Raw genomic sequence first — 14,526 nt, forward strand, 5'->3', positions numbered from 1 at the left:
AGTGAATTAAGAAAGAGTAATTGAACACCTGTTAAAACCTAATAATTAGCTAAGCAAATAAAAATGAAGGATGGCATTATATTCAGTAGAAATTATTGGCAATCTTAAAGAGCTCAGTTTCACCAGGGTACTTGGTGTGAAAATGATTTAAATGGTTGTAAGTGATATTCAGAAAGCAGGAATTAAAACAGAAATTGTAGAAAATTTTTTCAGGAGGAAGGAAACAAAAATAGATCAATGGCTGCAAGGGAAGTAGGATATATATGTATAGAAAATAATAGAGAATAAAAAATACATCATGTATTAGTTTTCTAATCATTATTGTGCTGTGGATCTTAAGCACAATAGCAATGAAAGTAAAAGAAGAGAACAAAACAAGAACAACATTGGAAAGAAAGAAACAATCTGTAACTTTTGAAGATATATGGTTGCCTATAAAGAAAACTTAAGTCAAACATTTTTGTTATTACAGTTATTATTAGCTTATTCTTATTCTCTTGTTTTCTGTTATACTAGAATTAAAAATGATTCATGTACCACAATTTACAATATTATATTATGCTGTATTTGTTTATATATTTTCCTTTACCAGTGAGATTTATACTTTTCTATGCTTTCATGTTGTTGTTTAGCAACCTTTCATTTTAACTCGAATAAATCCCTTTAGCACTTCTCATAAGGAAGTTCTACTGATGACAAATTACCTGGTTCTTTTTTATTTCTTTTATTCTGGAAAAGTCTTTATCTCTCTTTCAATTTTAAAGGACTTTTTTTTTTCCAAGTGTAGTATTCTTGTTTGGCAGGGTTTTTTTTTTCTTTTTTTTAACAATTGAATATATCATCTCACTCTTATATCATCTCACTCTTTCTTGGCCTGCATATATCTGTTGTAAAATCTGTGTATATTCGTATGATGTTGCCTTGTATGTGACAAGTCTCTTTGCTCTTTCTTCCTTCAAAATTCTCTCCAACTTTAACTTTTGACAATTTAATTATAATGTGTCTCAGTATAGATCTCTTTATGTTTGATCTTTTTAGGATTCTTCGGGCTTTATATGTATGTTTGTATTCCTCTACAGATTTGAGAAGTTTTCAGCCGTTATTTTACTAAATAAGCTTTCTGCTTTTTTATCTTTCTCTTCTCCTGGGAATTTAATAATGAATTCATTTGATGATGTCTCATAAGTTCCATGCCTCTGACTGGGTAATTTCAAATGACATATCATCAAGCTTGCAGATTCTTTCTTCTGTTTGAATCTGCTTTTGAAGCACTCTATTGAATTGTTCAGTTCAATCATTGTATTATTTAGCTCCAGAATTTCTGCTCAGTTATTTTATATCATTTCCTTTATTTTGTTTAACTTCTCATTTTGTTCATGTATTGTTTTCCTGATTTATTCTATTTGTATATCTGTGTTGTCTTATAGCTCACTGAACTCCTTTAAGGCAATTATTTTGAAACCTTTTTCAGGCAGCTCATAGATCTCAATTTTTTAGAAATGGTTACCTGTGCCTCATTTGGGTCCTTTTGTGGTGTCGTTTTTCCCCTAATTTTTCATAATCCTTGTGGCCTTGTGTTAGTATTTGTGCATTTGATGAAGTAAGAACTTCTTCCAGTCTATACAGACTGGCTTGGAAGGGATACCCCTTTACCAGTCATCCTAGCCAAACATTTTAGGTAAGACAGCTCATGGGTTTCATGACCAGGACTGCTGGCAGGGTCTATGGACCTGGTGTCTGGGTCCACAGGTGGGCAGGGCTAACACCAAAGTCCATGTTTGAGAAGTTCAGTTGTAGTTTCTGCGGACAGTAGGTTCGGTGCCATGGTGCCAGGGACTACGGGTGAGCTGGCTCAATGCTGCAGACCACAAGTAGCCTTGCTACCCAGGTCCAGTTGGGGAAATCCTGGTGCCTGTGTCCATAATAAAGTCAGATACTCCCTTCACTCTTCTTTTCCCTCACAGAGATAACATAGGCTCAGAGATTTTTGGGGGTGCTGCACTGTGCTGGCTTGAGGAAGGGGTAACACAAGTAAAATAAAACCATGTTTTCCTGCCCTTTTCACTCATTTTTATTCATTTCTGTGTTCTACCCAGATGCTTTAACTTCTCACTTGGATTCAGAATTCTATTGAAGGTATTTTCATCTTTGGATGGTTGTTAAATCTGTATTTTGTGGGCATGTGAGGGCTGAAAACTCCCACTGTTGCTGAGGTCACTTCTAAGTTGACATTTGGCTCAATTATGTACAAACGACTTGACATTTTGAATCTACGTTTTATGTGTGTGGCAGAGACAATGCCAGGTGCTCAAAACTTTTAATTTATTTTTCTGAAAATATAGGAAGTCTATATTTCCCAGCACTTCTGGAATATATGTGCAGCTATGTAACTATATCTGGCCAAAGAGATATATACACACTTGTGTGTGTGTGTGTATATATATATATATATACACAACATTTATGGCTTCTAGTTATGATTTCTACTTTCTTTCTCTCTTGTTTTGTATACGTTTTTGAGACAGTTTTGCTCTGTTGCCCCATCTGGAGTGCAGTGGCGTGATCTTGGCTCACTGCAACCTCCACCTCCTGGGTTCAAGCAATTTTCCTGCCTCAGCCTTCCAAGTAACTGGAATTACAGGTGCACACCACCACATCCAGCTATTTTTTTTTTTTTTTTGGTATTTTTAGCAGAGACAGGGTTTCATCGTGTTGGACAGGCTGATCTTGAACTCCTGACCTCAAGGGATCAACCCACATCGGCCTCCCAAAGTTCTGGATTTATAAGTGTGAGCCACCATGCCCGGCCCTGACTTCTACTTTCAAAAGGTCTTTTTTCCTCTCTTCATTAATTTTCTATTAAAATGTGGGTGATCCAGTGGTTTATTCTGCAGCAGTGCCACTAGATAGAATGAGTCAAAACCCCTGAAATATCTTTACTGAAGTTTCCCCATTCATGGCATTCCCTACCATCCTGACATGCCAGGTACTAAGGGGTTTCCTGGTATACAGGACTTTCAGTACTAAAACCAGAATAATCCCATGCAAACCTGAACTGCTGTACACCCAACCAGGCATACTCTATAAGAAAACAGTGTAAGGGAGAAATATTATTTTATTGTATTAAGCCACTGAGATTTAGAAATTTGTTTTTGTAACAGCAATTAGCCTACCTTTAGTAACAGAAATTAATATCTCACAGTGTTAGACTACCAAAACAAACACATTGGCTTAGATAATGAATAATGAGAAAACTGATATCAAGAGCTGGAAAGATGTTGATCCATGCTTTCCCATGGGGAAGCTCTTGATAATATTGGCACTATGTTAACATTGGAGGCAGATTACTTGTATTCTAAGCTAGTAACACTAGGATAAGAAATCAGAAGTCACTTGTGTCCTCTGTGGTGGTGGTATGTTTTTAAAAATGTAAAGGGCAACTGTACTACAACTTTTGTGAAATGTAGAAAGCAATTTCATTACAATGTAAAATGTATATTAAAACCACGTTGCAGCTGCACAAAAAAAGATATCAGGCTAGATTTGTATATCGTATTCATATATATGTAAAACAAATCACAACCTCATATGCACAGATTCATAAAAAGTAATATTTTTTCTTGCATCTGTCTTCATTTAAAAAAGATTATGCAGAAAATACATCCATGTGGTATATATAAGGTCTATAGGCATCCACGTGTAAAGATATATCTTTCCCTTGCTGTCAACCACTGTTTGTCTTCCCCATTTAAAACCTTGGTGTTACATTCCTTTTCTCACTGTCTTATGTGAATCATTATTAGTTTATCATCAATTGCATTTACGTTTGTGGGTCATTAAGCCAGGCTCTTTCAACTAACTTTTAACTTTGCCAGCATTTTTATACCAATAGTACGACAATGAAACCACATAGTACTGTCACGGACTTTGTCCCAGTGAGATACACAGAAAGAGAGGACTGGACAATATTGAAAGAGCACAATTAACCCTTTCCAAAATTTTCCTTTTCTATTATTGCACTGTGGCATTTTGTTGCTTGTTATTACCATCTTTGGAAACTATCGCTTGAAAATACCACTTAAAAACCTTTAAGAAAGTTCTATTTATTATTTGAATGTTTGTGCAAATTGAAATAAAATATGCATTTCAATCACTGTTTGGATCTCTATGTTGTTCATCACACAAACCATATTAATGCTAGAGCAGCATCTTTCCAATCTTCCTAGGATAGAGTTCAGCAAGATATATCATTGATTAACTTCCTTATGATTAACTACCTTATTGTATTCAAGTCTTTTCTAAATTATTATTTTCTTAAGGAATCTTGTACCACAACCCGACTTAATATTGCAATCTCATCCCTGGGAATTTTGGCCCTTATTTTATTTCATTTTATGTTATGTTATGTTATTTTAATTTTATATTTTAAGATGGAGTCTTGCTCTGTCGCCCAGGCTGGAGGGCAGTGACGCGATCTCAGCTCACTGCAAGCTCTGCCTCTCGAGTTCACGCCATTCTCCTGACTCAGCCTCCTGAGTAGCTGGGACTACAGGCGCCCGCCACCACATCCAGCTAATGTTTTGTACTTTTAGCAGAGATGGAGTTTCACCGTGTAAGCCGGGATGGTCTCTATCTCCTGACCTGGTGATCCACCTGCCTCGATCTTTATTTTTTAATTGATTACTAATTTAATTTATTATATAAAGAGACAATATTTTCTGCATGATAACAAATCTTTGAAATATTTTGAGCTTTGCTTTATACCCCAATATATGGTCAATTTTCGTAAGTGTTCTTTATGCTTGAAATGTATTCTGCTATTGTTGAATATAATATACATTTATCCATAGATCAAATAAATTAATTACATTATTAAAGTCCTTTTATCGTTAGTAATTTTTTTTCTGCTAAAATATCAGTTACCAGCAGAAGCGTAATAAAAATCTCCCACTCAAACAGGGAATGTTTTTCCTTTTCCCCTGCAGTTATGTGAATTATTCACACATTTTTGAGACTGATATCAGTTGTATGTAAGTTTTTAGTTTTTGCATATTTGTATTCGTTGAACTTTTATCAGCATATAGATATCCTCTTTAACTCTAATAATGTTTATTGCCTTTAGATAAAGTCCAATTTTTATGGATACAAAACTTAAGCTCATTTGCCCTCTGGTTTCTTTTTGTATCTAGCTAAATGGAGGAACCAGCAAGAAATCTAATGTCAGGATAGTGTTTCTCTACCAGAGGCTACAACTTCTGTAGACTCATTCTCTCCTACAGCTGCACGTCTTGCTTTTGCCCTTTACTTCTTCAGATGTGGTGTTGGTGATGCCCCACCCTCATCAACTATCATTGCTATTCTGGGGGTGCTTCACATTGCATAGTTAGTTTTGCTTAACATGTTTGTAGATTAGTTCATTCATAAAGTGATCCTCAGTTACCTTGTTTGAGTGTATCTGGCTTATCTGTTTCATGCAGCCCAAGATACAGTAAGAAGGAGTTTGATAGAATATTTCTTCATAACATATCAACAGCCACACATTTCCCAGCTGGAATACAGTAATGGCCACCTTATCTTCCATAAACAACTCCTTCCAGATCTTAAGAGATGTTATCTAAGGTACACTATTTACATGTATCAATTTTGGAATCAGTTCAGATGCATTTAAATGCAAGTGATACCAAATTCAAGTGCTTGTAAATTAAACCTGTGACATTTACAATTTTTGAACAGAAATCATACAGAGAAATACATTTTTCCTAGGGAACATTATATGAAGTAATACATCCATATATAAACCAAAACAAATGTTACAAAAATTATAGTTGCAAACAGTACCTGTACTGCATTATGCAGTTTTCTATTCCATTCTGTGCTTCTCAGAAAATATTCTATTGCCTTCTTACATTTATTTCATGTTCAACTCACAGCCTTGCGTTTGAAAAATACTGACTACAACTCTAAGGACATTTACACAAAGCCACTCTTAGATACAAAGGAGCCTAGGAAAATGAATAGCTAATCATTTAACCTCTTTAGTAGGATATGGAAAGTGTGTGTGTGTGGGGGCAACATTTGAAAAAGCTGTAAAATAAACAATGATATCTGCAAAAAAAAATACTTACCAGGAAGGAAAAGCAAGTACCATCTTAAGTGGTGAAATATCAAAGCTATTTTCATTAAAATTATGATCAATTCAGAAATCCCCATTAGCATTATTTCCATTTAAATATGATTTTGGGGGATGACTTACAACAAGAAGACAATAAAATAATGTAAGTTATATAAATATTAGAAAAATGTGATGTATAACATGACAAAAATTTAAATAAAATGTAGAGTTACTAGAATTAATGTAAAATTTTGGCAAGCTGACTAAATACAAAATAAATAGCCAAAAATTATTTTTTTTACTAAACAAGCAATATCAAGGAAGAAATAAAAAATAAGACAATTCACTATTAGAACATTTGTTTATATTAGCATAATTACTAATTTTCCAATAATATTATGTATAGAAATCTACCCTACACAATACAATTACTGTCAGAAAAAATATATTACTAGCAGTGTTATTTATATTGATGCTGCCTCAAAATTTTCTTTAAATCTGAAAACTGACAGACTAATTAATAAATTGTGCCATATTTCTACTATGTAAATTCTTATATGCAAATATTTATGCATATTTATACTATATCCATCTAGAAATGAATGAATATAAGGTAATATGTTTATGACCTTGTAATAGGCAAACATTATCTTAAGACACAAACTGCATAACAATAAAAGAAAAAATTATATTTTATCAAAGCTAAAAACTTTGGTTTAATCAATAACATTAAGAAAATAAAGGAAAAGAAGTAGGGTAAAAATAATCAATATACAGGTATCTGATAAAGAACCCGTATCTGATATATTTTAGAACATTAGAAATAGAAAACAGTGAAATTAAATCAATTAAGAGAAAAGACTCAATCAGCTTACAAAAGAAAATACATGAATGACTTATAAGCACAGGAAAAGTCGCTCCACAACCTCAATTAGAAACAACTTCATACAAACTAGAATTGAATGTTATGGCAATTTATAAGTTAAACATACCCCTATCTAATGAGTCAGCAACTCATAGGTATTTGCCCAATTAAAACAGAAATGTATGTGCACAAAAAAGAACTATAAAAGAATTATCATAGCAGCCTTATTTGTAACAATAACTGAAAACAATTCAACCACTTATCAAGAGGAAACTGGTTAAGAAACTGATGGTATATTTATACTACTGAATAATAATTAACAATAATAAACAGGTGATTCTTACAAGCATCATTCTTAAAAGCATTTTATTGAGCAATAGGAGCCAAGCATAATAAAAACATATCCACTAACTTAAAGGACAAGAATAGGCAAATACACAAATCAGAGGTGACCGTCTTCAGGGATAAATAGAAAATAGATAATAGTTCCATTCTCCTATAATGGAACTATTCTAAGGAGTAAGTGGGTAGTTGCAAAAGTTGTTTTTTGTTTGGTGTTTTTTTTTGTTTTTTCAAAATTTCTCGAACTATACAATTAAGATCTGGGCATGTTTCTGTAAATATATCTCATTTTAAAATTATTGATTAGAAATACTAAATCATGACATATCCAAGTTTATTTTTATAGCAGACGTATCTATTGTAGTATCTTAAAATCCTTATTCACTGATATTAATTTTGCTAATTTTTTATAAGAAAAAACAAGCAAATTAACCGGTAGCAGTAAAAATTAATTTTAATTAATTGTTTTCTGTATGGTGGTATGGTTTATTGGAAATAGCACTGGCATAGGGTTTAGGTGATGCTTTTTTTTTGTCTTGGTCCTATGATTAATCTTCACAAATACATTAAACACTATGCCATTAATTTTCTTTTCTGTGAAATAAGTCGGTGCACCACTTATCAATGCACTTTCCTTCAGCTCCACGTTTACCCTTCATTGCTTGCTCTGCAAAAATGAAGATGGATCTTTCAAATACTTTTTCTTTGCATGATGAAAAGAAAAATGGTGTGATGTTAGGTAGAAGATGCTGGATGGACATTGAAGAGGAAATGTAGGTTGTCTCTTCCTGGTTCTTGTACATTTTTCTCCCCAGGCTCCTGCAGTGTGTAGTTTCTCCCATGTCTGCTTCCTGCAATGAATAGCTTTTCCAGTGTCCAGTTCCTGTGACATGCAACAGTCAAGGGGACCCAGGGCCCATCAGCTTCTCCCAGTACACACTCTGGCGATGTCAATACGTAGTGCCACCAGTGAGGTACCTCCCTTTAAATGGCCTCACTGCATTTCTTCAGGATAATCTGCAGCAAGTTCTGGGCATGAGACTTCTCTGCGGGCAGATTGCTGTAGCACCTCAAAGGGAAGATTTTCATCAATTTCCATGAGTATACTGTATCAGTGATTTCTTCATCATCTGCTACATCATGACCACACTCTTCCCATTGAGGCCTTGGTTTCTTCCATGAGTGAAAACTGTGTCTTTCTAGCATAATGTATTATTTTTTTTTAATGGGGTTCAAAGACACCACAAATTTACACGTTTAAAACAACATACGTGGCCGGGCGCAGTGGCTCACGCCTGTAATCCCAGCACTTTGGGAGGCCGAGGCGGGCGGATCACGAGGTCAGGAGATCAAGACCATCCTGGCTAACACGGTGAAACCCCGTCTCTACTAAAAATACAAAAAATTAGCCGGGCGTGGTAGCGGGCGCCTGTAGTCCCAGCTACTCGGGAGGCTGAGGCAGGAGAATGGCGTGAACCCGGGAGGCGGAGCTTGCAGTGAGCCGAGATCGCGCCACTGCACTCCAGCCTGGGCGACAGAGCGAGACTCCGTCTCAAAAAAAAAACAAACAAACAAACAAAAAAAACTTTACCTCACAACTTCTATGGGTCAGAAGTCTTGGCACGGCTAAACTGGGTTCTCTGTTCAGGGTCTCACATGACTATAATTAATGTCTTGGCCAAGTTTCATTTTCTTCTGTAGCTCAAGATTCTCTTCACAGATCATGTGGTTATTGGAGGAGTTTAATTCCTTGAAGCTGTAGGACTGAGCTCCCTGTTTTCTTTCTAGTCAGAGGCTGCTCAGCCCTTAGAACCTGCCAGGAACTTCTTGCCATGTGAAGAAGTATATGTCATGTACTTCTTCAAAGCTAGCCAGGGAGAGCTTCTTTTTCCAGTTTCCTAAGACAGAGTTTCACATAATGAAAAAACAATTAGAGCTGTGATGTCCCATCGTTTTTCAGTATTCTACTGGTTGGTAGTCACAGGTTCTACCCACGCTCAAAGGAACGGGATTTGCATGGTAAAACATCTGGGGGCAGAGATCTTGGGGCTTGCCTGAGAATTCTACCTATCCCAGATGCTCTCTCCGAATGCAAGTGATAATGGCTCTTTCTGTTTTCTGAGCTCCTTAGGGTTCCTTTTAGTTCTTACTAGCCAGTCTCCTGTTACTTCAATATCCTGCTGTAATTAATTCTTCATATCATAGAAACTTTGTCTATAAAGTGTAAAATAATAAACATTCCATGCTTTCAGAACAAATATGGTCCCTGTCATACATTGATACAAGAGTTAAGAAGAAATCACTTAGGCAAATAGTGAGGGTATGGAAGTCCTCGGTAAGGCTTTTATTTTTAATAAAATGCAGCCCTAAATTGTTTTCTAACAAAGAACATCCTGTAAAGTCGAGCAGCAGACATAAACAAGCAAGCTGGGAGCTTGCACGGGTGAATGCTAGCAGGAACTAAGGACTAGACATGCTCAAGATAGTGGCTCCATCTTCCCTTCTCTGCCAGCCATGTGTACAGTAAGAAGCAGACAAGATGGCCCTAATCAACTGGAAAGCCCATTTTCATAGTAAGATTAGGGTGGGGTGACCCACCTTCCCCATGCACTATATAACCATCATACCTGATCAAACCAATCTGTGAGCCCTATGTAAATCAGACACTGCCTCCTCAAACCTGACTATAAAATTCAGCCCTTCTGCCACACGCTGGTCCTTTCTGCTCAGACATCCCTGTTTCTATAGAGAGAACTGTTTCTCTTTCTCTTCTGCCTATTAAACCTCCGCTCCTAAACTCCTTGTGTGTGTCTGTGTCCTAAATTTTCCTGGCCTATGGCAACAAACCTCAGGGTATATACCCCAGACAATGTAGATGCTTCAGTATGCTATTTTTGGTTTTGGTATTTTAACAAATTTTAAAATCTTAAAACTTAAAAGTCATTCCTAGCTCACAGGCCATACAAAAACAGGTTATGGGCCAGATTTGGCCCATGGGCCATAGTTTTCTCTTCTCTTTCATATATTCAACTTTTCCTAGTCAAATAGCTTTGTGGTTTCTGTTTCCTGGTTGGATCTGCAGTGAAAGGAGATAGATTCTGAAAGATGAGAGTCTTTGTGGTTTCAGGCTTGAGTGCAGTGCTGAGCAATAAGGGGCAATAAGGAAAGGGATACCTCTTGGTAATCCGTGGCATGCAATGGCATCATGATTAAGCAAGCTATCTCCTGTGGTTGATGAAGTCTCAGTTGAAACAAGTCCCTTGGAGGCTCAAGAGCCTGCTGCACTAGACCAGTGTAGTAGTAGCAATGACCAGAAGGACTTTGGTATGAGAGAATATTTTTTAGTGCACTTGAACAAAAACAAAAAGAAAATGAGTTTAGATATTTCAACTTTAATTCAGATGAATATCTTATTCCTTTATAGCTACAGGGTTGATATTGTTTTAAATAAAGCACATTTAATTGTGTAATTGAACTCAATCTCATCAAGTATCTCACATGAAAGAGTATCAACTAGGAAAAGATAGGATCCTGAAATTTGGAATAAGGATATCTGGTTGAATTTAGATGACAGTCTTGAACCTCCAAGTCACTCTGAGCCTGCCTTAGTAGTGGAAGTAGCTTTCCTTACACTACTAAGTATATGAGGAGACTGGCCATCTTCCACATTAAAAAAAAAAAAAAAAAAGAAAACTTTGCTAAATTCATCTGACTTTGATGCCTTCAAAAAAGATGATCATTCTTCTTAATATGCATAACTACTCCTTGTGGTCACTTGACCCCTAACTAAGGGGCAAGAACACATGACATCTAAGAAAATACCTTATACATCAAAAGAATGATCCAAAAACATTGATAACGTATCAGTAGAAATTTGAAGAACATATGTGAGAGAGGATTCTAAGGGTGTTAGACCAAGGAGTGTGGACTATAACATTGAATTCATTAACATGATGCACTTAATAAAGATTCTGAATTTAATATGCTAGTTTGTTCAGGTTGAAATAGCTCTTACTGCTTACTTGTTTGATTGACTTAAACTTGGGCACAAAGTTTGCTGATATTTAATGAGGATGAAGTGTCAGATTTTCCCTGGCACGATGTAGAGAAATGAATCCAAAAGTTGAATTTATCATGTGTGACATGCTAAGTAATGACATATGACATGTTTCTCCCAGATGCAGTCAATAAAAAAATTCAAAAGCTACATCCTTCAATAAGCTGTTGAGAAACGTATTAATGAGGGGAACATCTACATCCTTAGGTTCTTCTTCCTTTTAGGCCAGTTATAATTGTAGGGCATGCCAGCATTAAAATAAGCTCAGTGACTTAATGTGAGTGATGAGATCCCAGAGCAGCACAGGACAAGTGACAGAACTCAACTGCCAAAGACAAAGTGGCAACATAAAGGGATGCAGGGATGTACTAATATACAGAATGCCTTGACCCTCAGAAATCTTAGGAATGTAATAGATGGGAAGACCACTAGCATATCACTTGATCTATATAACATTGAAAACTTCAGTTATGGAAGCCAAAAAAATCCTGACTTGATTTGGTACCCTGAATAGTCACATTCTCAGTCTGGTTTCCAGACTTAAGTCAATACAGAGACCCAGAGCTTCTTGATTAATAAAGAGGAAAGTGTTTCTTGAAGAAGGACCTTGCACTGTTGCTGCAAATACGTGTCACAAATGTTCTCTAAACATTCCCCAAATGCCTGCGACCATGGCTAGACAGACTATACTTAGGGAAACATGAAATACCCATACTTTTTGAGATAAATAGACCTGGCTTTGAAATGACAGTAATTTCTGAGGACCCAAAATGTCACTGTTGCCACAGTGGAGTTCTGTGGTGATCAAGTCCTAGTTGTAGTCTTAGCTCAAGTCTGACTCAGGGGTCCTAGTTAGTTCATAAATCCACCCTAATTATTATCCTACTTCCTGAATGTACAAATAGAATAAACATACTTGGGTACTACAGAATTCCCACATTTCCTTTCTGACCCTTGACGTGAGGGCAATTATAGTAGAAAAGGCTATGTTATAATCTCTGGAACTTTCATTCCCTAGAAAGATAATGTAACAGAACCAATAACACATCCTAGAGGGTGCTGTGAAGATTATTGCCATCATCAAAGATTTTAAAGAAGCATTATAAAGTATTCAGTGGGGCTATGATGTACTTTGAGTAGTACTTAGTATTGCCAGCAATGAATACAGTGACTGTTGGGCTATGACTTCTAACTTGGGAGTAAGTGTGATGACTTTTTCACTTGTAAAAATAGCTGTATCCTATTAGATAAATATAAACACTTTATTAAGTATTTTATTATTGTATATATTCAAATATGTGTAGAAGGGTTCATATGGATGGTGACTAGCCAAAGAGACGGACTATCCTAGATATTAATATATTAATTATAGTATAATGTTAATACATTAGTTAATTATATGTAATATATGTTAATGTATGAAATTAATAAAATAATTATAATATTTAAAAATCTGTATTTCACTGCTTGCTCTGGAAAAGTGGAACTGGGCCTTTTAGAGACTGTTCCTTTGTCAGCTGGTACAATATTAAGTGCTTTCAATAGATACCACTAAAAGGACACTGAAGGTGGAAGGAGTTTTTCAGTTGCTGCTTCAAGTATGCTGCTCTCACCAGATTCCTATATCATGTGGTTTCTTCAGGGCTTAGCTCCTCACTTATTTCTCTGTCATCCATTGAAGCACAGATAATCCCTCTCCAGAAAAAGCATTGATCTCAGCTGATATGGTTTGTCTGTGTCCCCACTCAAATCTCATCTTGAATTTTATCTCCCATAATCCTCACTTGTCATGAGAGACACCTGATGGGAGGCAGCTAAATCACGGGGTCAGGTTTTTCCCATGTTATTCTCATGGTAGTGAATAAGCCTCATGAGATCTGATGGTTTTATAAAGGGCAGATCCCCTGCACACGATCTCTTGCCTGCCACCATGTGACACGTGCCTTTGCTTCTCCTTCACCTTCCGCCATGATTGTGAGGCCTCCCCAGCCATGTGGAACCATGAGTCCATTAAACCTCTTTCCTTTATAAATTACCCAGTCTCAGGTATGTCTTTATAGCAGCGTGAGAACAAACTAATGCAATAAATTGGTACTGGTAAAGTGGGGTGCTGCTGTAAAGACACCCAAAAATGTGAAAGTGAATTTGGAACTTTGTGACAGGCAGAGGTTGGAACAGTTTGGAAGGCTCAGAAGAAGACAGGGAAATGTGGGAAAATTTGGAACTTCCTAAAGACTTGTTGAACGGCTTTGACCAAAATGCTGATAGTGATACGAACAATAAAGTCCAGGCTGAGGTGGTCTCAGATGGAGATGAGAAACTTTTTGGGAACAGAAGTAAAGGTCACTCTTGATATGCAAAGAGGCTGGTGGTATTTTGCTCCTACCCTAGAGATTTGTGGAACGTTGAACTTGAGAGAGATGACTTACTGTATCTTGTGGAAGAAATTTCTAAGCAGAAAAGCATTCAAGATGTGACAGAGCGTAAAAGTTTGGAAAAATTGCAGCCTGATGATGCAGTAGTAAGGAAAAAAACACATTTTCTGGGGAGAAATTCAAGCTGGCTACAGAAATTTACATAAGAAACAAGGAGCCAAATGCTAATCATCAAGACAATGGGGAAAATATGCCTAGGATATGTCAGAAACCTGTGTGGCAGCCCCTATCACAGGCCCAGAAGCCTAGGAGGGAAAAATAGTATCCTGGACTAGGTCCAGGGCAACCCTCCTAATGCAGCCTGGGAACTTGGTGACCTGCATCCCAGCCACTCCAGCATGACTGAAAGGGACAAAGATACAGCTCAGGCCATTGCTTCAGAGGGTGCAAGCCCCAAATCTTGGCAGCTTCCATGTGGTGTTGGGGCTGCAGGTGCATAGAAGACAAGAACTGAGATTTGGGAACTAATATGGTTTGGCTGTGTCTCCACCCAAATCTCATCTTGAGTTGTAGCTCCCACAATTCCCACATGTTGTGGGAAGGACCTAGTGGGAGGTAATTGGATCATGGAGGTGGGTCTTTCCTGTGCTGTTCTTGTGGTAGTGAATAAGTCTCAAGAAATCTTGATGGATTTATAAAAATCACAAGTCCTCTCTTGCCCACCATCATGTAAGAAGTCCCTTTGCTCTTCATACATCTTTTGCCATGATTGTGA

The 14,526-nt window shown here is 36.7% G+C and overlaps 1 annotated feature.

Annotated features, from left to right (window-relative positions):
• Window positions 13,740-14,241: an enhancer, noted in NCBI's record as "NANOG hESC enhancer chr7:145629475-145629976 (GRCh37/hg19 assembly coordinates)". NCBI's record gives its function as "activates a minimal SCP1, AML or CMV promoter by ChIP-STARR-seq in primed H9 embryonic stem cells {active_cell/tissue: H9 hESC(primed)}" and the evidence as "EXISTENCE:reporter gene assay evidence [ECO:0000049][PMID:30033119]".

Source organism: Homo sapiens, chromosome 7 (genome assembly GCF_000001405.40).
Source record: "Homo sapiens chromosome 7, GRCh38.p14 Primary Assembly".
In the NCBI taxonomy this organism is placed as follows: domain Eukaryota; kingdom Metazoa; phylum Chordata; class Mammalia; order Primates; family Hominidae; genus Homo; species Homo sapiens.